Genomic DNA, 21,854 nt, shown 5'->3' on the forward strand with positions numbered 1-21,854 from the left:
ATTCAGGCATAGAACCACATCCTTTCTAAAACATGTGGACGCAGGCCAGATGAAACATGAGATAACTAAGTGAGTACCAGTCCAAATAAGTGTTTTGGAGAGAAAATAAGTTTCTGTTATCCAGTCTTGATGAGGTCTTATGGTGAATGAAGCATGTTGTCCAGGAAAAATTAGTGTAGTTGCCATCAGAAAAACTGCTAGGAGTCCTGACTCTTATTACTCATTTGTTGAGTCTCTCACTTTGTTCAGAGTTATCTGTTTTTCTTTCTTTCTTTTTTTACTGTTAAGTTGGTAGTTATTTTGGGAATACAATAAGATGGCATAGTAAAGTGTCTCACAAATAATTCCATATTGACATACAACCCCACCATAACATAATAAATTAGGCCTAAAAATTCAGCTATGTAAGACATGGAGTCACTTTGTTACATGATGAATGCAGAAAGTTCCTGGGTCCAAGTGTGCCATCCACATCTGCCCAGGTTCTGCTGAGGTTGGACATGTCTTGTCTCTCCCAGTCAGTTGACCAGATGGAGCCAGGGGGAATATTCAGGATTCAAACATCCATTTCTATCTCCCTGCTTCCCAAGATGGTTTGAGATTGTTTGCCATTTCCTCTTCTGGCTTCGCCTTCTTTTCCTCCCACCCAAATAAACTTTAGTTTTCTTCGGCTGAGAATGGGGTTGATCAGAAGATGAAAGTCATTCGTAATTATGTTATATCCAAGTCCATCTTATCAGAGGATTTTAACTATATTCTTTAGACAAGTTATCTGTAGCTACGTGCGTAATGGAATAGAGAAAAGTTTATTCTCCTGATTGTTCTTAAGAAAAGCACTGCATTCACTTGAGGAAATAATTTGATATGCTGTAATTTATGTTATGCATGAGGTAAGAAGAGAAATTGACATTACCGCTGAGGAGATAAAGTGGCTTTGATAGGTGGGTAGGGTGGAGACAACACAGAAAGGAAGAAGCAAGAAAAGAACGTAGGAGAAAAGAGGCTTAGAGACTTGGCAGAATATCATGCTCTGGGCTCCTGGTAATTCCTGAAGCCTCAGTGTGTGTACAAACTCCAAATATATACTTGTAGTTGTTGGAATTCTCATGGAAATCTGGAAAAGAGTTGAATTCTGGATCTAGGTTCTCACTTGGCTGATATGGAAAGAGCATAGATGAACACAGGCATATAGGCACCCTTCAATATCTGAGTTATTTATAAAAGGTCCCAATACTACTAAATAAGAAAATTGCTTAAATCCAAGTCATTTAATATGCACACAAGAATCTCTGTGAAATGGTCTCAATTTAACATCAACATTTGAGCCTGGGTCCATATAACCCATAGAAAGCTTAATTTATGGCTTCTGTTTGACCTTATTCTAGAACATGGTGAAGTCTTGAGACTTAGAGCAGGGAAGACCACTTTCCTTAAATCCTTTTAGATTGCAAATAAGCCAGAATTCATGGCTGGTTTCTCCATATCAAATAAACAACATTTAGAACTCTGGGAATTATTCATATGAAATTGAAACTTCAGAGAATGCCATTTTACAAAAAGAAATTCATCCCATGGCCACTGCACTTACATTTTCTACATTTTGTCTCTTAAGCCATAAAAGGAATGTTGTTTTCAGCTGTTCATCCACATGTAGTTGATATATGGAGGAAAAAAAGCTCATTTGACTACTATGTGAAATATTTATTATCTAAGTTATTAAAACATTACCCAAGACCAGTGCTCCTGACTTTGTCCCAATACCCTCTGAGAGGTATCACAAATTCTAATCAGTATCAGTGGCTTCTCAAGACATGTCACTCCTTTAAGAAGTGGACAGAGAGGGGAAGAAAGATGGACACCAGTCCATTTGTGAGAAATGTGTGAAGCTTATATCAGAATTTCCAGGGCTTTGTGTTCAGTTAGAAAGAGCTTCTCTTGTTCATTCTGAGGATCTGTTATGGGCTGAATTGCATCCCCCAAAACCCATGTGCTGAAGTCCTAACTCCCCCAGCAACCCCATTCCCCAGTACTTCAGAAAATGATCTTATTCAGAGATACAGTCTTTACAGAGGTAACCAAGTGGAAATGAAGTCATTAGGGTTGGCCCTAATGTAATATGACATTAGGTATCTCTATTTAGAAAAAGAGAAATTAGAAGACAAAGTGGAGACTATGCAAAGATACAGGGAGAAGGCCATGGAAACATGAAGACAGCCATTTACAAGCCAAGGAGAGAAACAACCCAGCCAATACTTTCATTCTGGACTTCTAGACTCTAGGACTGTGGGGCAGTAAATTCCTGTTGTTTAAGCCAGCCAGTATGCGGTACTTTGTTACTGAAATCCTAGCAAACTAATATATTGACCTTCCAACACTGAGAAAGGCAAGTGGTACAAAGCTAACCACATTTCAATTATCATAACTCTATAAGTGAGAAACTGCTAGAAAGTAAATTGTGGAATTTGTTTTAGGTGAATGAAGGCCAATGGGCAGGCTTTTCTAGGACTAGAGGTAAGAAAACAATGTACTAATGTATACTTTTCCTTTAACCAAACCATTTATCTTTATTGCAAAAAATAATACAATTATAATGTCCTGACTCCAATTCTGATACTTTTTTCCTACAAATTTCCACTCACTGAGAATTTATAAAAAGAAAATAATTCAAAAGCCCATCACCTTAATAAATAAATGTTTGGATTTTTGCATTTATTCTTTATTTTAATCTAGATGAATGCTTAATTCCTCTTACATTTAATCATAATATAGGAGATTTGTAGTTCAATTTTCCCCTTTAACAGTGATTCTCAACCAGTGTCATTTTGATAATTTCCACCCATAGGCCAGGACTTTTGGCAACATCTGGAGACATTTTTGGTTGTCACAGCTGGGGTGATGGTGCTACTGATATCAAGTGGGTAGAAACCAGTGATTCAGCTCACATCTTATAATACACAAGACAATCCCCCAACACCAACTAGTAGAATCTGGCCCAAAATGTCAGTGGTGCTGGGGTTGAGAAACTTTGTCTTTCAGTAAGATATCATCAATGTTTTCCATGTTGAATAATAGCTGAGTGGTCTTTACAATATTTTCTGCACAAAATTCCTTTTCTGCACACTATTCTATTAAATTAATGTATTATAATTTATCTAACCAATAACCATGTAATGTGCTATTCAGGATGTTTCTAACGTCTCACTATTATAAATAAAGGTGCAAGTATTTTTTTATTTACATAGCTTTTTAGATGATCTTAAAGAAAAATTTCCAACACTGAGATTTAGATTAAAGGCTATGAGTACGCCAAACAGCAATTATTTCCTTTGTCAGTGAGAAATGGTTATAAGCCTTACTTACTGATATACATGCTTTTCTTTCTAGGGAAGCACTTTAATTTTTCTCATTTCTGAGTTGCCACAGGACTTTCACAGTGTGTTCAAGGATTGTCCTTTATTCTTTACCACAACTAAAGAATATAAGTAACCTCATCAAAATTTTCCTAAGACCATTAATGACTCATTACTTCATTTTAGAGGTCACTGTGGCCTACCACTGATTCAACCTTAAATCATCACTGCTACTTGACTCTGAACAGCTTTTATCAAAGCAGAACCAGGTAACATCCACTTGATCACAGTTAGAAGTATGCTCCTAACTCACTTACAGGAAGTAATCGGTTAACCGATCACAAGTTATCACAAGCTTACTTCTTAAAGGGGCCTCTTCCTTTTCCTTTGGAATCATGTAAAAGTTACTTTACATTACAAAAGCATTAGACAGCAAGTTATAAAGCACTAGGCTTGAACTTTTAAGACTGTACTAAAGGGTGAGTGGGTTATTAGAATAACAACAACAACAAAAAAAATACCATGAGGACCTATCCTTTCTTCATGTTACTAAGGAGTCCTCTTAGTAACCAAGACATTCTTTCAAAGAAAAAAACAAATGGTTGTAGGTGACAAAAGGTGACTTTTCCATGGCCCTGTGAAACAAACCATCCCTTTACACCCTTTGTCTCTCTGCCTAGACAGCCCCAGCTAAGTAAAAGATTGTGGTAGTCAGGTCTCTGGGCAGGTGGTATCCAGCACCACATTGAAAATATATCCTAGGTGCAGTAATGGGATGAGAATGGAGACAGCTGCTGAATGATGAAGGTGGGAGTGCACAAGGGTGAAGTGATGAAACAGGTACAGAAACACTTGCTTTCACAGGTCAGATGGGCCGGGGCAATATTCTAATACTAACCTGTGGGATAATATATATATATATAATATATATATTTGGGATAACAAATATATATATATATATATATATTTGGGATAACAAATATATATATATATATATATTTGGGATAACAAATATATATATATATATATATTTGTTACTTATTTGCCAGGCCCTCATCACAAATGGCCACTGAAGGAATAGCATAATTGCTAATCTATTTCCATGGACTCCAACTCCCATTTCCATGGACTCCCAGAAACCAGGCAGCAACCGCAGACAGGAAACCTGTCTTGATTTTACTGAGGCATCTCAGATGCCTCCTTTTTGTTTTAAAGCATAATGAGGACAGGATATGCATAAATGACCAGAATTTCCAAGAGGGCAGGGACAATTCTGGGAAGCTTGACATCAGGTTCTATCAAAATCATCTCATAGAATTCTTAAAAAACAAGTGCCAAGTGTAAAAATAAGCTAATATATTAAAGAGGAATAAATGTAAAGCCAGATCTAAAGTTAAATTAATTAAAAGATAAGTTGGAATGTTCTGTTTACTTTAAATTGTCAACAATAAAACCAAGTGGAAATATTTGAACATCTACAGATTATTTTTAAAAATGCAAACATGAAGCCAATTAATTCGAGATGAAATTTATCTACATGACAATATTTTCTTTCAGGCAGTGAAGAGGTGTAAAGGACAATTTATCATGCCATATGTTTGTTTTTTATGGATTTCTTGAGGGAGAGACTGTAAAATAAGCATAACAAAATAACAGTCAAATTATTTTTTTTTAACAAAAGTGACCCATGCTTCACCAGTTAGATTATGGTTTGCATAGTCTGGTATTCTCAAAAAGCAAAAACTTTTTTACAGACTTCATCTGAGGAAGAGATCCCAGGAATTGAAGTGGAGGACAGTGGCGAGTGAAGCAGAGACAGTGACAAAGCCAGCACAAGGATGCATTCTTGAGTTAGTCACTGCTGTGGGCAACTGAGACTCTGATAATCAGTGTAGTCTATGCCTCAGAGTGGACCATCCAGGGGATGGGTGGGGGCATTTATCCACCCGCTCCCATTCTCCATTGATGAAGACTTGCCCTCTGGCATTAACTCGCTTGCACTTCCAGGTTACACAAGTGTGGAAGTGTGGCAGGGTCTCAAGGGGTCCTTCAAGGTGGTAGCAGAAAAACTACCAAAGTCAGAAAGCGAGAGAAAAGTGGTGAAGCTCACATGAGGTGAGCAGAGGAGCTGGCTGTAGCAATGTCTGTAGTGACAGGTGAGCTCAGAGGAAGAGAAACAGAAACAAGAGGAGTCCACTGCATCTCACGACCCAGTTCTAATTACTCGCTGTGACTGTCAGGAGTCTAGTATTGAGAATAATTCAGCCCAGTGATGCTGAACTCAACAGCAAAGGGCCCAATGTTTATGAGGGTGTGAGTTATGGTATTCCTTAAATTCAATCTCATTTTATGTCATCTGGATAATAGAGGGTCATGCCTGTGTCCTCTTTGATGGAAGAGAGGTACAGGAGGACTGTGGCTAATGGGGTAGCCAGAAACCAACATGACTTACTCTACATGTACTCTTTCATAGGAATGTTTAGATACCACTCAGAGATGTAAAATAGAATAAGATTCTTTTGTCAGTGTCTAAACATTTCTGTATGATTTGGACTGGCAGAGAATAACCAATTCTTTGCTTTGGTTTTCTTTGAATTGAAGAGAATGACCTATCAAAAGTATGGCAATGATAATTTTCTACATAAATATTGTTAGAAGGTGAAATGGTACTTACTTTTTAAAGAAGAAAAAAACTGTATATTATACACAATCTATAGATCTCTGAGTCTCTAATATTCTAGTTACACATCTAATTTTAGCCACGTCCTTCATGCTATGTAGCTTTGGGCAGGTCCACATTTTCTACTTCTATTCCTGAAGGATTTGGCCAGCCCCTATGCAGGGGAATCCGTTAGGGGTTATCTTTCTTTTCAACCCCAAATGTCTCAGGTTTCTGGGGACTTAAACTTCCCATCTTCTCACTTCCTTCATATTTCCTGGGGTCTCTAATACTTCCTTTCCCCCTGGTTGCCAGGGGACAAATCAAGAATCCCTGTTACTTTATTATATAACACAATTTAACGCCTGCTTTTTCTCAATCTCTTTCTTCCAGACTAGCCCAGAGGCTGTTTCTTTAACAGAATAACAATAAGACACAGAAACAAACCTTCCCAAATAAAAGTGATAAATTTTGCCACTCATTCAGAATATAGCTCCAGTGTGTGTACTTTTTAAAAATTTTATTTTCTTTATATATAAACTAAAGTCCAATTCTCCAAAATAGGCTTTGAGCTAGCTTAAGTTTGAAGCCTAAGGAAGATTCCAGAGAAATGTTAGTAGGATTTCTTTTTTTTTAAATTTATTTTTATTTATTTATTTATTTTTTATTATACTTTAAGTTCTAGGGCACATGTGCACAACGTGCAGGTTTCAAGTGGCCACAGAAGCCAATGCTTGGGGAAAAATATTTAAATTCATCTCTCAGCTAGAACAGGAGAAGGACATAAGGAAGTTTTTTTCCCTAGAGTAATGGAGATAATCAAGCACCAGAGATTCTAATTTTGATGACTTTAATGATGAATCATATGACTTAGAGATGCCATATGCAGTGGAATAAATAGAATTGAATATTTAGCCAGGTAAAAGAAAGGATGAATAAAAGAATCACAGAACAGGATTATTCATTGAAAGCCTTGAGTTATGAACTAAGACATTAAAACTTTTATATTGGGATTAGAGAGTCCAGTTATTTCCCCTAAGAGTTTGCTCCTTACTCTAACTTAAAATGGAATGAAACCCTTGATGTATGAGATAGAATTTGAGGGGACTTATTTCTTCTTAAATTGGTGGAAGACATTTGGACAAAAACAGTCCTTTGTTGTTAATGCTCAAGAGCATCCAGGTGACATTTAGGCAGTGCTGATGATTGATAAGAGAGATTATGCATGATAGGGGAAGAAACTCCCCTCCTACCAAATGTAAAATCTAAGTGCTCTTTGTTTAAGCCAAGTGACAAACTGTATCCCAAAACATAATGCACATGCTGAAATTAATTAGGACAGTAGAGTAAACCCTAAATAGTGCAAGCAAATATTTATTGTATTTGAGCACTTCTTTTTTTTTTTTTTCAAGACAGAGTCTCGCTCTGTCGCCCCGGCTGGAGTTCAGTGGCACGATGTTGGCTCATGGCAACCTTCGCTTCGCCTCCTGGGTTCAAGCTATTCTCCTGCCTCAGCCTCCCGAGTAGCTGGGACTACAGGCGCCTGCCACCATGCCAGGCTAATTTTTGTATTTTTAGTAGGGACGGTGTTTCACCATATTGGCCAGGATGTATTTGAACACTTCTAAGGTCCTCAGTGTGAGGTGAGCTGGAATAAAAACTATCTTGAAAGAGTTATTCTAAAACCACGTTAGTTTTCCATTCATGAAACGCAATTGTATTTCCTTCAAAGTTATTTTCCAAGCTGACCATACTTATGAAACTATTCAGAGAAATGATGACACACTCTTTGTATTCATAGTTCTTTTAGGAAATTGATTTTTATTCTTCATGCACCAAACGTGTATTCACTATAGCCAGAAACTCAGAGGCAGACATCTTTGCAAATAGCATTTTGCTCTGCCATTCCTGAGAGCTAGAGAACTGGCACAGGCTAAGGGGTGTGGATTCAGGATTGGAGCATGTATGGGCATCAGCTCTACTATGGGCCCTTATTGCCACTCTGTGGTTCTGAAGATGAGATCTGCTTGGATTATTGCAGATAAAGCCTCTTCACTGTTGCAACTGAGATTTGTAGGCGCATGTGTAGTGATGCCAAGCAAATTCTGTGACTTTGTTCCCTTCCACATGTTATTTCTCAAGCCCCCACACACCCTGCAAAATGCCATTTGTAGATACCTTTGTTTGTATAGCTATTACCCCAGGTATAAAATCTGCTTTATATACTCATGCTTAGGACTCTGCCTGGCCTTGGTCTGCATGGTATGAGTAGCTAGTGTGTAGCTTCTCTCCAGCATGCCCTCTCATGTAACTTTTTTGTGTGCTTTGTGTACTATAGCCCAAGGTTAAGCAATGCTCCATCCCCTTACCAGCAGGTGTTCCTAAGACATTGTACCCCAGGTCGGCTAAGAGCTCCTGAACGTTTCTTTCTCACAGGAGAAAATGGTTACCTCAGCCTGGTAAGAATATTTAAGGAGCCAAACCCAGCTCTGTGTCTGATCAGATTAGCTGTAATCTTGTGGCCTTTTACTGAATACTTTGACTTATGCCAAGCTCCAGCATCTAAGTCTCCATGACATCTGCCTTTCAACTACATCTGGGTTAGTCCTTATCTTGATTACCCACCTGCCACCCAAGTTTCTTTAGGACTGAAGCTGGCAGTACAGCTTCTTCCTACTCTCCTTTTCAGTGAATAGAAATCTGTCCTTGGTCAGAATTCCCCGTGTCTGAGTTGCTGATGCCCATGACCAGACTAATCTGAGGCCAATTTCTTTCCTGCGTTGTGCCTCCTCCTTACTTTAACCACAGTCAGCCCTGCCTGGCTATTGACTGCTGTCTCTGTGGCTTATCACTGTGACTACACCTTCTCCTTGTCCCAGCATCTCTCTGTGGAGCCAGCATCCTTCTGGCTCCATGTACTTGTCATTTATGATCTTAATCTTTAAATAGCTAATCAACATCCAGTGATAGTAATATTATCTCACCTTTGTTGAGCATTTCCTAAGTGTTAATATCGGGCTAATTATCACTAAACCTCATGACATTTCCAAGGTAGATCGAATTACCCCATTTTATAGATGTTAAAAATGAGTCTAGGATACACTATATAACCAGAAGGTAGAGGAGCCAGAATTAGGCTGGGTCTGGTGTCAAAACCCAGGTTCCTCTACTTCACCAAACTGCCTTCCTTTGAGAATAGCTGCAGTGTTTCATCTTTAATCACCCCAGTGTTATTATCTTTATTTACAGGTAAATGTACTGAGACTCAGGGATCTCATGAGTGAGGAAGCCAATATTTTAGTCAAGATCAAAAACCTTGTTCTTTCCACTACATGACACTATCTTCCACTACAGCACTTCCTACGTTATAAGGTGAATTTTTGCTTTTGTAAACACTCACTTTTCAGCCTGCAACCGGTTGAAGTGCCCCTATAATATGGTCCCTTGTTACTGCATCTGAATGCTGTGGCTTTGGATGACACTTTCTTCCCTTCGGAGGTTCTGCCTCCTTTTCAGCTTCCTCCTCCACTTGTCCTTGGAATGATTCATCTTTCCATCTTCTCTTCGCCAGGCATAGATTGTCCCTGAGGATGCTTACAGAACTTGAAATATCAGCCAGAATGCCAGCTTTAAATTACAGTGAGGAATGGAGCTATCAAGCTCTCTGGTGACTCATGTGTGCTGATCGGTACCTTCTCTCCCTGTGGGAAAGTCTACGTGGGATGTTAAATTCATAATTGGGGATGGGCTGGCAAAAGAAGAATTGGAACAAGAGAAATTAGATGAGGTGACTGGGAGTGACAGGCTACATGGTCCATTGCGTCTATCTCTGTGTTTGGGATTTTGTAGCCACCGGTCTTAGCTGGTTAAATTGTTGGACCTGGCCATAGACTGCCTCATACGGTGCTACTGTCGAAGGTTGAAAAGTTGTTACTGTGCTTGATATGCTTAAACAATTTTAAAAATGTTAGAAAATGAAAGAGTAATTATAAAAATATGTATGGAATAGGTATAACATGTAAAGACTAAATACAGCGAACATCCCCTTACTTACTCCAGGCAAGAAAAAGAACATTACCAAGAACTTTGAAGTTTCTGTGTGTGACTGTCTCATCCTCTCTCACTTTCTTTCTCAGATAACTACCATCCAGCATTTTGTGTTTATAATTTTATTTCATTTCGTAGTAACATTACTTTTTCCTTGAATCTCTAAAGAACATACCGACTTTGTAGAAATGAAATCATACTGTGTGTATTTTTGCAAATTTTTTTGTTGTTTTGTGTATCTGAAATTCATTAAATTTTACTAAGCATACTAATCCATTGTAGTAAAACACAAATTATTTATCTATTCTATTATTGATGAGCATTTGGTTTGTTTAGAATTTGTGGAGATAAGAAGCAGTGCTACTATGTACATTCTTGGGTATTTCCCTTGGTGCATAAGTGCACATGTATCCAGGATGGAATACGGGTCATGGTAACACACATTTTCAATTTTATTAGAAAATGACAAGCTGTTCTAAAGTGGTTGCAGCAATTACTGATACTCCTTTAAGCAGTATAAAATCCATTCTTTTCCCACATCCTCATCAGCATGCAATGTTGCCAGACTTTAATTTTCATCAGTTTTGTGAGTGTGATATTATCTCACTGTAGTTGAATTTACATTTCATAATTTCTAACAAAGCTGAGCATCTTTTCATATGTTTCTTTCCACCTATGATTATTCATCTGTGAAGTTCTTTTTCAAGATTTTGCCCTTTTTATTGGATTGTTTTCTTTCTTTCTAATTGATTTGCAGGAGAGTGTTTTGTTTGTGTTTTTTTTGGTACATATTTTGGATATTCATAGTTTATCAGTTTTATATGTTAAAAATCTCTTTTCCTAGTTTGTGTATTTCTTTTAATTATCTTCATATATTTTGAATGAAATGGTAGAATTTCACTTTTTCTTTATGACTTTTGTGTGGATTCCAAGACATCCCTCCCTATATGGTGATCATAAAGATATTCTTCTACATTGTTAGCACTGCATTTCTCATCTAAGACTTTAATTTGATGGAACTGGTTTTTATATATGGTATATAATAGGGAGACATTTTTATTTTTTTCACCTGTGGATACTCAAGTGTGCCAGGATAATTTATTGCAAAGTCTATTCTTTCTTTAATGACTTGCTACACACCTTCTGTCATATATCAAAGGCCTGTAAGTAGATCTGTTTCTGGGCTTTCCAGTCTGTTTCAGTAGAAACTTGAAAACACCCCTCTTTCTTAATTATTATGGCTTTATCATGCTGCTAAGTATGTGATAAAGAAAGTACTCCTTTTTCTTCTTCATCTTGGCTATTTGCTTTTTCATATAAATGTCTTAAATCAGCTTATCAAGCACCACAAAACTCCAGTTGAGATTTTAATAGGAATATCTTTGAAATTACCTATCAATGGTAGAAGAATCGGTGCTTCTATGAGGTCAAGTCTTCTTGTCTATATATATGATGATTATATCTGTTTTCAAGGTTTTCTTTGCTCTATAAAGAAAAGCTTTATACTTTCCTTTATGAAGTACTTGAAAAATTTTGTTATATTTATTTATAGACATTTTAGAATTTTGATGTTTTTAAAATATCTTTTAAAAATTGCATTTTCTGTTTGTTGAAACTTATTTTTGTATATTGATTTTTATATCCTGGAATTGTGCTAAAATATCTTATTAATTTCAGAAATGTATTTGTAGGGTCTTTTGAATTCTAATACACACATTACCTCCAAAAAAAGTCAGTTTTTTCTCTTTCTTTCCAGTTCTCATTATTGGCTAAGACTTCCAGCACAATATTATACAAGTGGGGCTAGTAGATGCCTTGTTTTGTTGCTAATCTCAGAATACTTTCAATATTTCACCATTAAATACGATGTTAGCTGTAGGTTTTCTGTCGGTACTCTTTGTGAGTTTAGGGAAGTTTTGTTTTATTTCTAGCTTATTTTCTTTTCATTTAGTAAAAGATGGGGAATTTTATCAATTGCCTTTTCTATATCTATTGAGATGATTACATAATTTTCTCTTTTCTTGTATTAATAGGGTGATATACAATAATTTATTTCTTATGTAAAATCAAACTTGCTCTCCTGGGATCAGCAAATGAAGCATTATCTTAACACACACACACACACACACACACACACACACACACACTTCTGTATTATGTTATTTCTGCATGGTATTGTCATATCTATGTACATAAGCAAGATTGATCTGCAATTTATGATTCCATTCTCACATTTTTTTGGGTTTTGTATCAAAGTTAAAGTAGCCTAATAAGGTAAACTAGGGATATTCCCACTTTTCTACATTCCGAAATAATTTGTGTGAGATTTGAATTATTTTTTTCTTGAATATTTGCACTTATTTCTTCCTTATTTGCTGTAAATTGCTAGCAACGCTGACTAGATCTGGCTTTTCTGTGAGAAGATTTTTAACTTCAGATTCAATTTCTTTTATGATTATAAGACCGTACATTTTCTATATCCTCCTAAGTAAATTTTGGTAAGTAAAATTTTTTTAGAGATTTATTTATTTCATATGAGCCTTTATATGTATCACATAAAGTTGTTCATAATACCTTCTTATTATCATTTTAATCTTTGAAGCACCATTGATTTTTTAATTCCTAATATTGTTTACTAGTGAATTCACACCTTTTCAAAATTTATCTTCAGAGATGTATGTCAATTTTATTAGTTCTGTCAAAGAGTCTTGATATATTTTTTACTCTGACATTTTTTCAGGAAATTTTTCTACTTTCTTATAAAACCATTTCATCTGTCAAGCAATGGTATATTTGAGATTTGGTATCATACTGGACACTGAAAAATTAATTTTTCTCTTACAAGTACTTTCAACATTTCTTAAGTAAAAATTTGGGTTGAACCCCAGTAGGAAAAATGATTATGAAACCAGTTTAATTGAAGATTTAGGATATTAAATGTTCCCTTGTACAGTTTTAGGAGACTGGATGCTCATACAAACCTGTTTGTACGTTACCTCCATAAGCTTTTGCAGACAGGTCTTAACAGGTTGGCTTCCAAATCCTAAGCAACCAACCAGTACAAAACACAGCAACCATCAGAAAAGAACAAACAGAACGCCGGCTGCTTCAGACCAAGGGGCAAAAATGAAGGATGGGGATTAGGTCTGAAGGTCATAGAATCTATGTTTCTAACCTTATTTTATATTGCACTCCCCACTTCCCCTCTGCTAGCTAAATTGAATCATATATTGCTATTCAGGCAAGACCTGTGCTTGCTTGCTTTCTTTCCTCTGCCTGGAATTATTTTCTTATACCTCCCTTGATCAAAACATATCTGTTTTAAAAATGTATAATGGATACCTATTAGGATTTCTGCTTAGCCTATGCCCCTCCTTCTGTGGGAACCACCTTTCACTCTCTGCTCATAGTAAAGGCTTCTGCTGGTTTGCTTGTTATACACAACCCCTCTATCCTTACCAGGGAAAATCTAACCAAAATTGACACCTGACCGAAGTTGATGCTCTCAGAACCTCTCTTCTGGTAACTGGAACTGGGACTCAGAAATTTGGTGAGTCTCTGATGGTTCCCCTCTGACCTAGATGATGTTGGCTTTGAAGTTGAGGATGCCATTCTGCAGCAATTATGTTTGGCCCATGTGGACTCAGAAGCTGAGAAAGCCATTAAGTAAATAGAAGTCAAAGGAGATGCACATAAAAAAGCAAAGGCCATATATCTTGTGACTCTGAAGGGCTATATATAGTAACCTTTGTTCCATTTGGCACCGGATTCCTGATCCCAGTCCCTCATTAGGCTCAGGTGTACCTTCTACATTTAAGTTTCAAGAACTACCCTGATAGCCTTAAATTAAAAGCCCCCTTCCACACACACACTTTTTAAAGTTTTATTTTAGGTTCAGGGGTACATGTGTAGGTTTTTTATATAGGTAAATTGCATGTCACAAGGGTTTGATGTGCAGATTATTTCTTCACCCAGGTAGTAAGCATAGTACCCAAGAGGTCGTTTTTCGATCCTCTTCCTCCTCCCTTTCTCCACCCTCAAGGAGGGCCCAGTGTCTGTTGTTTCTTTCTTTGTGTCCATGTATACTCAGTGTTTACCCCCCATTTATAAGTGAGAACATGGGGTATTTGGTTTTCTGTTCCCGTTAGTTCACTTAGGATAATAGCCTCCAGCACCATCCATGTTGTTGCAAAGGACATGACCTTGTTCTTTTTCATGGCTGTGTAGTATCCATGGTGTATATGTACCACATTTTCTTTATCCATTTGATGGGCATTTAGGTTGGTCCCATGTCTTTGCTATTGTTAATAGTGCTGCAGTGAGCATACACATGCATGTGTCTTTATGATAAAATTATTTCTATTTCTTTGGATATATAACCAATGATGGGATTCCTGGGTTGGATGGTATTTCTGTTTTAAGTTCTTTGAGAAATCACTACATTGTTTTCCACAGAGGCTGAACTAATTTCCATTCCCACCAGCGGTGTTAAGTGTTCCCTTTTCTGTGCAACCTTGACAGCATGTTATTTTTTGATTTTTTAATAGTAGCCATTTTGACTGGTGTGAGATGGTAGCTCATTGTGGCTTTAATTTGGATTTCTCTAATGATTAGTGATGTGAAGCATTTTGTCATATGCTTGCTAGGCACGTGTATGTCTTCTTGAACAGTGCCTGTTCATGTCCTTTGCTCATTTTTTAATGGAGTTTGTTAATTTCTGGTCGATTTGTTTAAATTCCTTATAGATTCTGGCTATTAGACCTTTGTTGGATGCATAGCTTGCAAATATTTTCTCCCTTTCTGTAGGTTGTCTGTTTACTCTGTTAATAGTTTGTTTTTCTGTGCAGAAGCTCTTTAATTTAATTAGGTCTCATTTGACAATATTTGGTTTTGTTGCAATTGAAAAATCCCCTTTTTTCCTTATGAAAGTAAGGTAAAATTGTTTCTTGCAACAAGAAGAAATTTGACTAAGACACTTCCTCCATGAAGCCATTCTTTACTCTTCCTGTTGAAAGAAAACCTTTCCGTAGTTACCAACTTTATTCTGCCATTCACTTACAATTGATGGTATTTATTTAAAAATGCTTATATATGGTTGTCTTTTATTTTTTTCAAATTTAGACATTACACACTGCCTTCCTGCAAAGGAAGATGAGAATTTACCTGTGTTATTGTCCTTCCCTCTTCACTTTTTCCACCTCCTACTTCGGATGTGTATTAATTTTGGTTAGATCATTGCTCAATATTTACATTTTAATGTATATGTAAATATTGTAACAGCTGAATCATATTCTGGTATGTAATTACTTTTTCTTTATTTTTTTTCTGTGAGGTTCATAATTGTCTTTTTGGGGGCTTAGTTTTCTATGCACCTATTATTAATTCAATCACACATTTTCTCTGAGTGAACTTTAAAACTCTTCTAAATATGGCAAACATATCAACTGCTCTGTAGGTTCATCTTTTCTCTTGGTGATGTTTTTTATTCTTTCTTTTTTTTTGAGACAGAGTTTCGCTCTTGTTGCCCAGGCTGAAGTGCAATGGCCCAATTTCGGCTCACTGCAACCTCCGCCTCCTGGGTTCCTGGGAGATTCTCCTGCCTCAGCCTCCCAAGTAGCTGGGATTACAAGCATGTGACACCAGGCCCGGCTAATTTTTTGTATTTATTAGAGACAAGGTCTTACCATGTTAGTCAGGCTGGTCTCGAACTCCTGACCTCAGGTGATCCACCCGCCTCGGCCTCCCGAAGTGCTGGGATTACAGGCGTGAGCCACTGCGCCAGGCTTGGTGATGTTTCTTTAAAGCCTCCTTTTCTTCCTCTTCCAATGTGCATCTCTTGCCATCCACACAATTCTTCAGAAACTTTCTTTTACACCATCCTGAACTTCCATTCATCTTTCTCCTATGCAATTCCTGTGTTTCCTAGATCTTATCTCTTCTTCATTCTTGCTTTTCTCTCTCATGGTTTGGAGAATACTCTCTTTAACCACATGTTCTAACATTTCATGGTATATCCCTGAATATAGATCTATTTTTGATCCATTGTTCAGGATAAGTCTTTTCAGTTTGACTTTTGGAAATTTTCTTATTTCTTTGATAGTGTCTTTCCTCTCTCCTTTTTCTCTATTCTCTCATTATGACATTTGTAGTCATTGAAGTTTGGATTTTATGGATTGATCCCCTAATTCTCTTTTCTCTCTATTTACTACCTCTTCATCTTTTTAAATTTGTCTTTTTTAGAAGATAATCATCTTTGGCCAGGTGTGGTGGCTCACGCCTGTAATCCCAACACTTTGGGAGGCCGAGACGGGTGGATCAACTGAGGTCAGGAGTTCGAGACCAGCCTGCCTAACATGGTCAAACCCCATCCCTACTGAAAATACAAAAAGTTAGCCAGGTGTGGTGGCGGGCGCCTCTAATCCCAGCTACTCAGGAGGCTGAGGCAGGAGAATCGCTTGAACCTGGGAGGTGGAGGTTGCAGTGTGCCAAGATCATGCCACTGCACTCCAGCCTGGGTGACACAGTGAGACTCCGTCTCAATAATAATAATAATAATAATAATCTTTATACTGCAAGTCTCCTGTTGAGATTTTTAAAACTTCTCTTCATCTTTTTGGAATTTCTATGGCTTCTTTTTTATGTGTTGAGTGCTTCTTTTTATAGGATCTTTTTCTTATTTGATGGATTAATAGTTTCTCTTAAATCTTTAGTCATATTAATTATAGTTGGGTTCTTGTGTATAGATGTGAAGTACAGTGTAGAGTTTTTGTGTATAATTGTTCATAGTAGAGATTTCCGTCAAATATTAGATGATCCTATACATATTTAGGAAAAACGTGCTAAAAAGCTGATTGATAATTTGAAGTTCTGTATGAGGGTATGGGCTTACTCACTAGTAGAACTTCACTTAGGATGAGTAAGCAAAAGCATGACTGTTTGGGGAGGATACATTCTAATGTATGTGTAAATATTGTAACAGCTGAACCATATGCTATCTTGTGATTACTTTTCCTTTCTCAATTTTCTTTCTGTGAAGTTAATAATTGTCTTTGGGGGGCTTAGTTTTCTATGCACCTATTATTAATTCAGTCACACGTTTTCTCTGACTAAACTGTAAAACTCTTCTAAATACGGCAAACACATCAGCTGCTCCGTAGGTTCATCTTTTCTCTTGGTGATATTTCTTTAAAGCCTCCTTTATTTCCTCTTCCAGTGTGCACCTCTGTCTTATATAATCCTTGAACCAGTTCTTCTGTGTTCAGTCCACCACAACCAGGATGTATGAAGGTTGTGGTATCCCTGGTTACCAAGCTTTGGAGAGATTCTGTAATGCAAATTGGTTTGCTTCTTATTGATGCTTGGATTCGCTTGCTAGGGCTGCCATAACAAAATACCACAGACTGCGTGGCTTATCCAAGACATTTATTTCTCACAGCTCTGGAAGCTAGAAGTCCAAGATCGAGGTGTTGATAGGCTTGATTTCTCCCGAAGCCTCTCTCCTAAGTCTGCAGATGGCCTCCTTCTCACTGTGTTTCCACATGGTCTTTCCTTTGTGTGTGTGCATCTTGGTGTCTCTCTGTGTGTCTAGAATTCCTCTTCTTATAAGGACGCCCGCCAGATTGGATTATGGCCCACCCTAGTGGGATCTTTTTTACTTAATAACTTCCTTTAAGTCCCTGTCTCCAAATACTGTCACATTCTGAGGTATTGGGGGTTAGAGCTTCAATATATACATTTTGAGGGGACACTAATTAGGCCATAGCAATATTCTTCCTTTCTCTTGAAGGTTTATATTTTCTGCTTTCCTTGGCCTAATAATCCAGTCACCATTTGTCCGTTCACTTTTTAAAAAAAATTTTGTGAGTGCTTTATCTGCTAATATTTTGTCTCTTGCTTCTTTGTCCTAGTAGTTTATTATTGTTCATTATTGTGATTATTAGACAGCTTTGGGGAGGCAGAAGATATAACAGCATGTGTTCAAGCTGTTGCATTTAGTGGGAAATAGGCATAATATTTTAAAAAATAAAATAGTTCCAACACACAATGAAGCATAGATAAAAATATGGCCAACACTTAGGTGCCCACCACCCAACTGTATCAAAGTTTAGCATGATTTAGACTTTTTTAAAAAACTGAAACATTATAGATACAGTTGAAGCCCCTCGTTACTGCTATTTTCCTCCCCAGAAGGAACCACTAATCTGAACTTTCATATTTTTAAATTTTTATCTCATTTGTATGAATCTATTTATGTTTTGTATGTTTTAAAATTTATATGAATTATACCTTACAATACACAACTTCTACAATGGATTTTTTTCTTATTCAATATTATATTTTTGAGATTCATTCATTTATTGTAATGGCTACATGATATTCTATTTTTTAATAGTCTCCAGTGGGCTTTAGTTTTGTTCCCCTTGTATTATGTTTTAATTTAAAATATTTTTAGCTTAGTTAAGAACATAGAAATAGGAGAAAGAATAATTTCATCACACCATGGAAAATAGTGAGAAACCAACAGTGCTTTGGAGACCCTGGAACATCATTTAACCCAAGGGGTGAGACAGAATCTTCCTGTGTCTCATTTTGCCCCAAAGTACTCCATGGACAAGCCCCAGAGTAATGACATTACACAGCAGCAGTGAGCTTCCACGTGGTTATTAATGAAACACTCCCAGGGCAGGGCATGGGAGTGAGAGCACACACAAACACCTTGACTACTTTTTCTGCCTATTATCTTGTTTTCACATCCCTTTAAAAAATTGTATAAAGTTTTTATGTTGACATATTTATAGATTCACAAGGAGTTGCAAAGAAATGCTCAGGAAAATCCCTTGGATCCTTCCCTGAGTATTCTCCCCCTCTCCTCACCACAGTGTGAACATCTTATGCATCTAAAGTGTAATATCAAAGCCAAGAAATGAACATTGTTTCAATCCATGAAGTTTATTCAGATTTCATCAGTTATACATGCTTCATCTATGTGTGTTATCTACAGTTCTATGCAATTTCATCACATATAGACTTGAGTAACCCCCACCACAATCGAGACACATAGCTGTACTACAAGATTTCCCCATGTTATTCTTTTATAGCCACACCCACTTCTCCATCCTTCATCCCTAACCCCTGGCAACCACTAATGTGTTCTTCATCTCTTTATGTTATTTCACAGATGTTACATAAATTGAATTATGAACTATGGATCCCTTTAAGATTTTTTTTTTTCCACTCAGCAAAGTTTCTTTAAGGCTCATCCAAGTAGCTTCTGGGTAGTATTCCATGGTATAGTTATACCACAGTTTGTTTAACTGATTACCCTTTGAAGGGCATTTGTATAGTTTCTAGTTTTGGCTGATACAAGTAAAGCTGCTATGAACACTCACACACAAGCTCCTGTGTGAAAGTAAGGCTTTGTTTCTCTGGGATAAATGCCCAACGGTGCAATTTCTAGATTGTATGATAAGTCTTAGCATAGATCAGTACTTCATTCCTTTTTATGGATAAATAATTTTCCATTGTACGGATTTGTCACCTTTTGCTTATCCATTCTTCAGTTGATGGACATTTGAGTTATTTCCACCTCATGAATAATGCTACATGAATATTCACATACAAATTTTTCTAGTGAACATAAGTTTTTATTTTTAGGGGGCTATATACTTAGAAGTAGAATTGTGGGATCAAATGGTAACGCTGTATTTAACTTTCCGAGGGCCACCAAATTGTCCTGCACAACAGCTGCACTATTTTTATTTCCACCAACCAAATCGAGCGTTTCAACTCCCCATTCTTCCCAGCACTCGTTATTGTCTCATTTTTTATTATAGTCATTGCAGTGGATGCAAAGTCGTATCTCATTGTGGTTTTGACTTGCATTTCACTGATGGCTAATAATGTCAAGCATCTTTTCATGTGTTTGTTGGCCTTTTGTATATCTTTTTTTTTTTTTGAGAAATGCCTGTTTAGATCCTTTCCTCATTTTTCGTTTGGGTTACTCTTTTTATTATTGAGTTGTTAGGGTTTTTTAATATATTCAACAAACGAGCCCCTTATCAGATATATGAGTTGCAAATATTCTCTCCCATTCTGTGGGTTGTCTTTCCAGTTTCTGGATGAGGTCCTTTGGAGCTTGAAATGTTCTAATTTTGATTTTCAAAAATTAGTTATTTTTTCTTTGATTGTTTGTACCAAATCTAAGGTCATGAAGATTTATACCTATGTTCTCTTCTGAGAGTTTTGTAGTTTTGGCTTTTATGCATAAGTCTTTTTTCCATCGTAAGTGTTTTTTTTTTGTTTTTTTTTTTTTTTGAGACAAAGGCTCTTTCTGTTGCCCAGGCTTAATGTAGTAGCATAGTCATGGCTTTCTACAACTAAACCTCAGGTTCAAGCGATCTTCCCACCTCAGCCTCCCAAGTAGCTGGGACTACTGGTACCCTGCCTGGCTAATTTTTTAATTTTCATTTTTGTAGAGACAAGGTCTCACTATGTTGCCTAGGTTGGTCTCAAACTCCTGGGCTCAAGCAATCCTCCCGCTTTGGCCTCCCAAAGTGTTGGGATTACAGGCGTGAGCCATTGTGCCTAGCTGTCAGTTAATTTTTTATATGGTAAAAAATAATGGTCTATTTCATTTTTTTTGGCATGTAGCTATCCAGGTGTCTCAGCACTATTTATTAAAAAGACAATACTTTCTCTATTGAATCTTCCTGGCATCCTTGTTGAAAATCGATTGACCACAGATAAATGGATTTATTTCTGGACTCTCAATTATTTTGTTTGTCTATGTACCTGTCATTATGCTGGTGCTATACTGTCCTGATTAATATTGCTTTATAGTAAGTTTTGAAATATGGAATTGTAAGTGCTCCAATTTTGTTAATCTCTTTCAAGATTGTTTTGGCTATTTTGGGTCCTTTGGATTTCATATGAATTTTAGGATTGGATTGTCAATTTCTGCAAAGAAGCCAGGTAGAATTCTGATAGAGATTGTGTTGAATCTATACATCAATTTAGAAAGTTCCTTATCTTGCTCTTTCATTTCCTCTATGAAATGCCTCTTGTTTGGAGTGATATTTATGTATCCTTTCATAAGATATTTTGGAATAAAATAGGAAAAAATAAAGTTTTGTTACTTTAAATGCAAAACCTTCATACAAAGGGGAAAACTATGGAAATAGAAAAATACATATTTCTTAAAAATCTCATTTATTAAATTAAAAGGAATTTGTTGCATGATATTTTTCCAGAATCCTCTTTTTTCCTACGGATGAGGACATTTGAAGTAGAGAGCACAGAATCTGAAATAAAGAAATTGCCATATTTAATACATGCAAATCCTTTCAACGGGTGGGGTGGAGAAGAAAAGCCCTACATAGGGAAGAAGCATATATAGTTTATAATTAAGTTTGTATTTTGAATGAAGATGAAATAAGCATTTTAAGTTTTCTTTCCACTGGAGTGGAATGCAAGAAATTTTATGAAGCTTGGCAAAAAATAATTTTCAAGAGGTATTATTGTCATTTACACTTTAGTATCATTGATAATAGAGCAATAATGCCATTATTTACATAACCTTCTTACAGCTTACAAACTATGTTCATATACATTATATCTCTTTACCATCTATTTAAAATTAATTTTATTTCACTACAACAAATGGGCCCTTTTGTGGCTAAGTTACTACATTTCTGTAAGTGTGTGTTTTGGAGCAATGATCTTTTGTTTGACCTCTGGGTTTTTTGTTTTTCTTTATTTCAGACAGGGTCTAGCTCTGTCACTCAGGCTGGAGTGCAGTG

General features: G+C 36.7%; 1 long non-coding RNA gene across 1 annotated transcript; it reads left to right on the top strand.

Annotated features, from left to right (window-relative positions):
- Positions 1-13,095: 13,095 nt before the first annotated feature.
- On the top strand, positions 13,096-21,854 carry LOC107986746 (uncharacterized). Its single transcript, XR_001745028.1, has 3 exons — positions 13,096-13,200; positions 13,519-13,606; positions 21,817-21,854. It is a non-coding gene; the product is annotated as an uncharacterized LOC107986746 (long non-coding RNA).

The sequence above is a fragment of the Homo sapiens genome, chromosome 7, assembly GCF_000001405.40.
Source record: "Homo sapiens chromosome 7, GRCh38.p14 Primary Assembly".
Classification (NCBI taxonomy): Eukaryota; Metazoa; Chordata; class Mammalia; order Primates; family Hominidae; genus Homo; species Homo sapiens.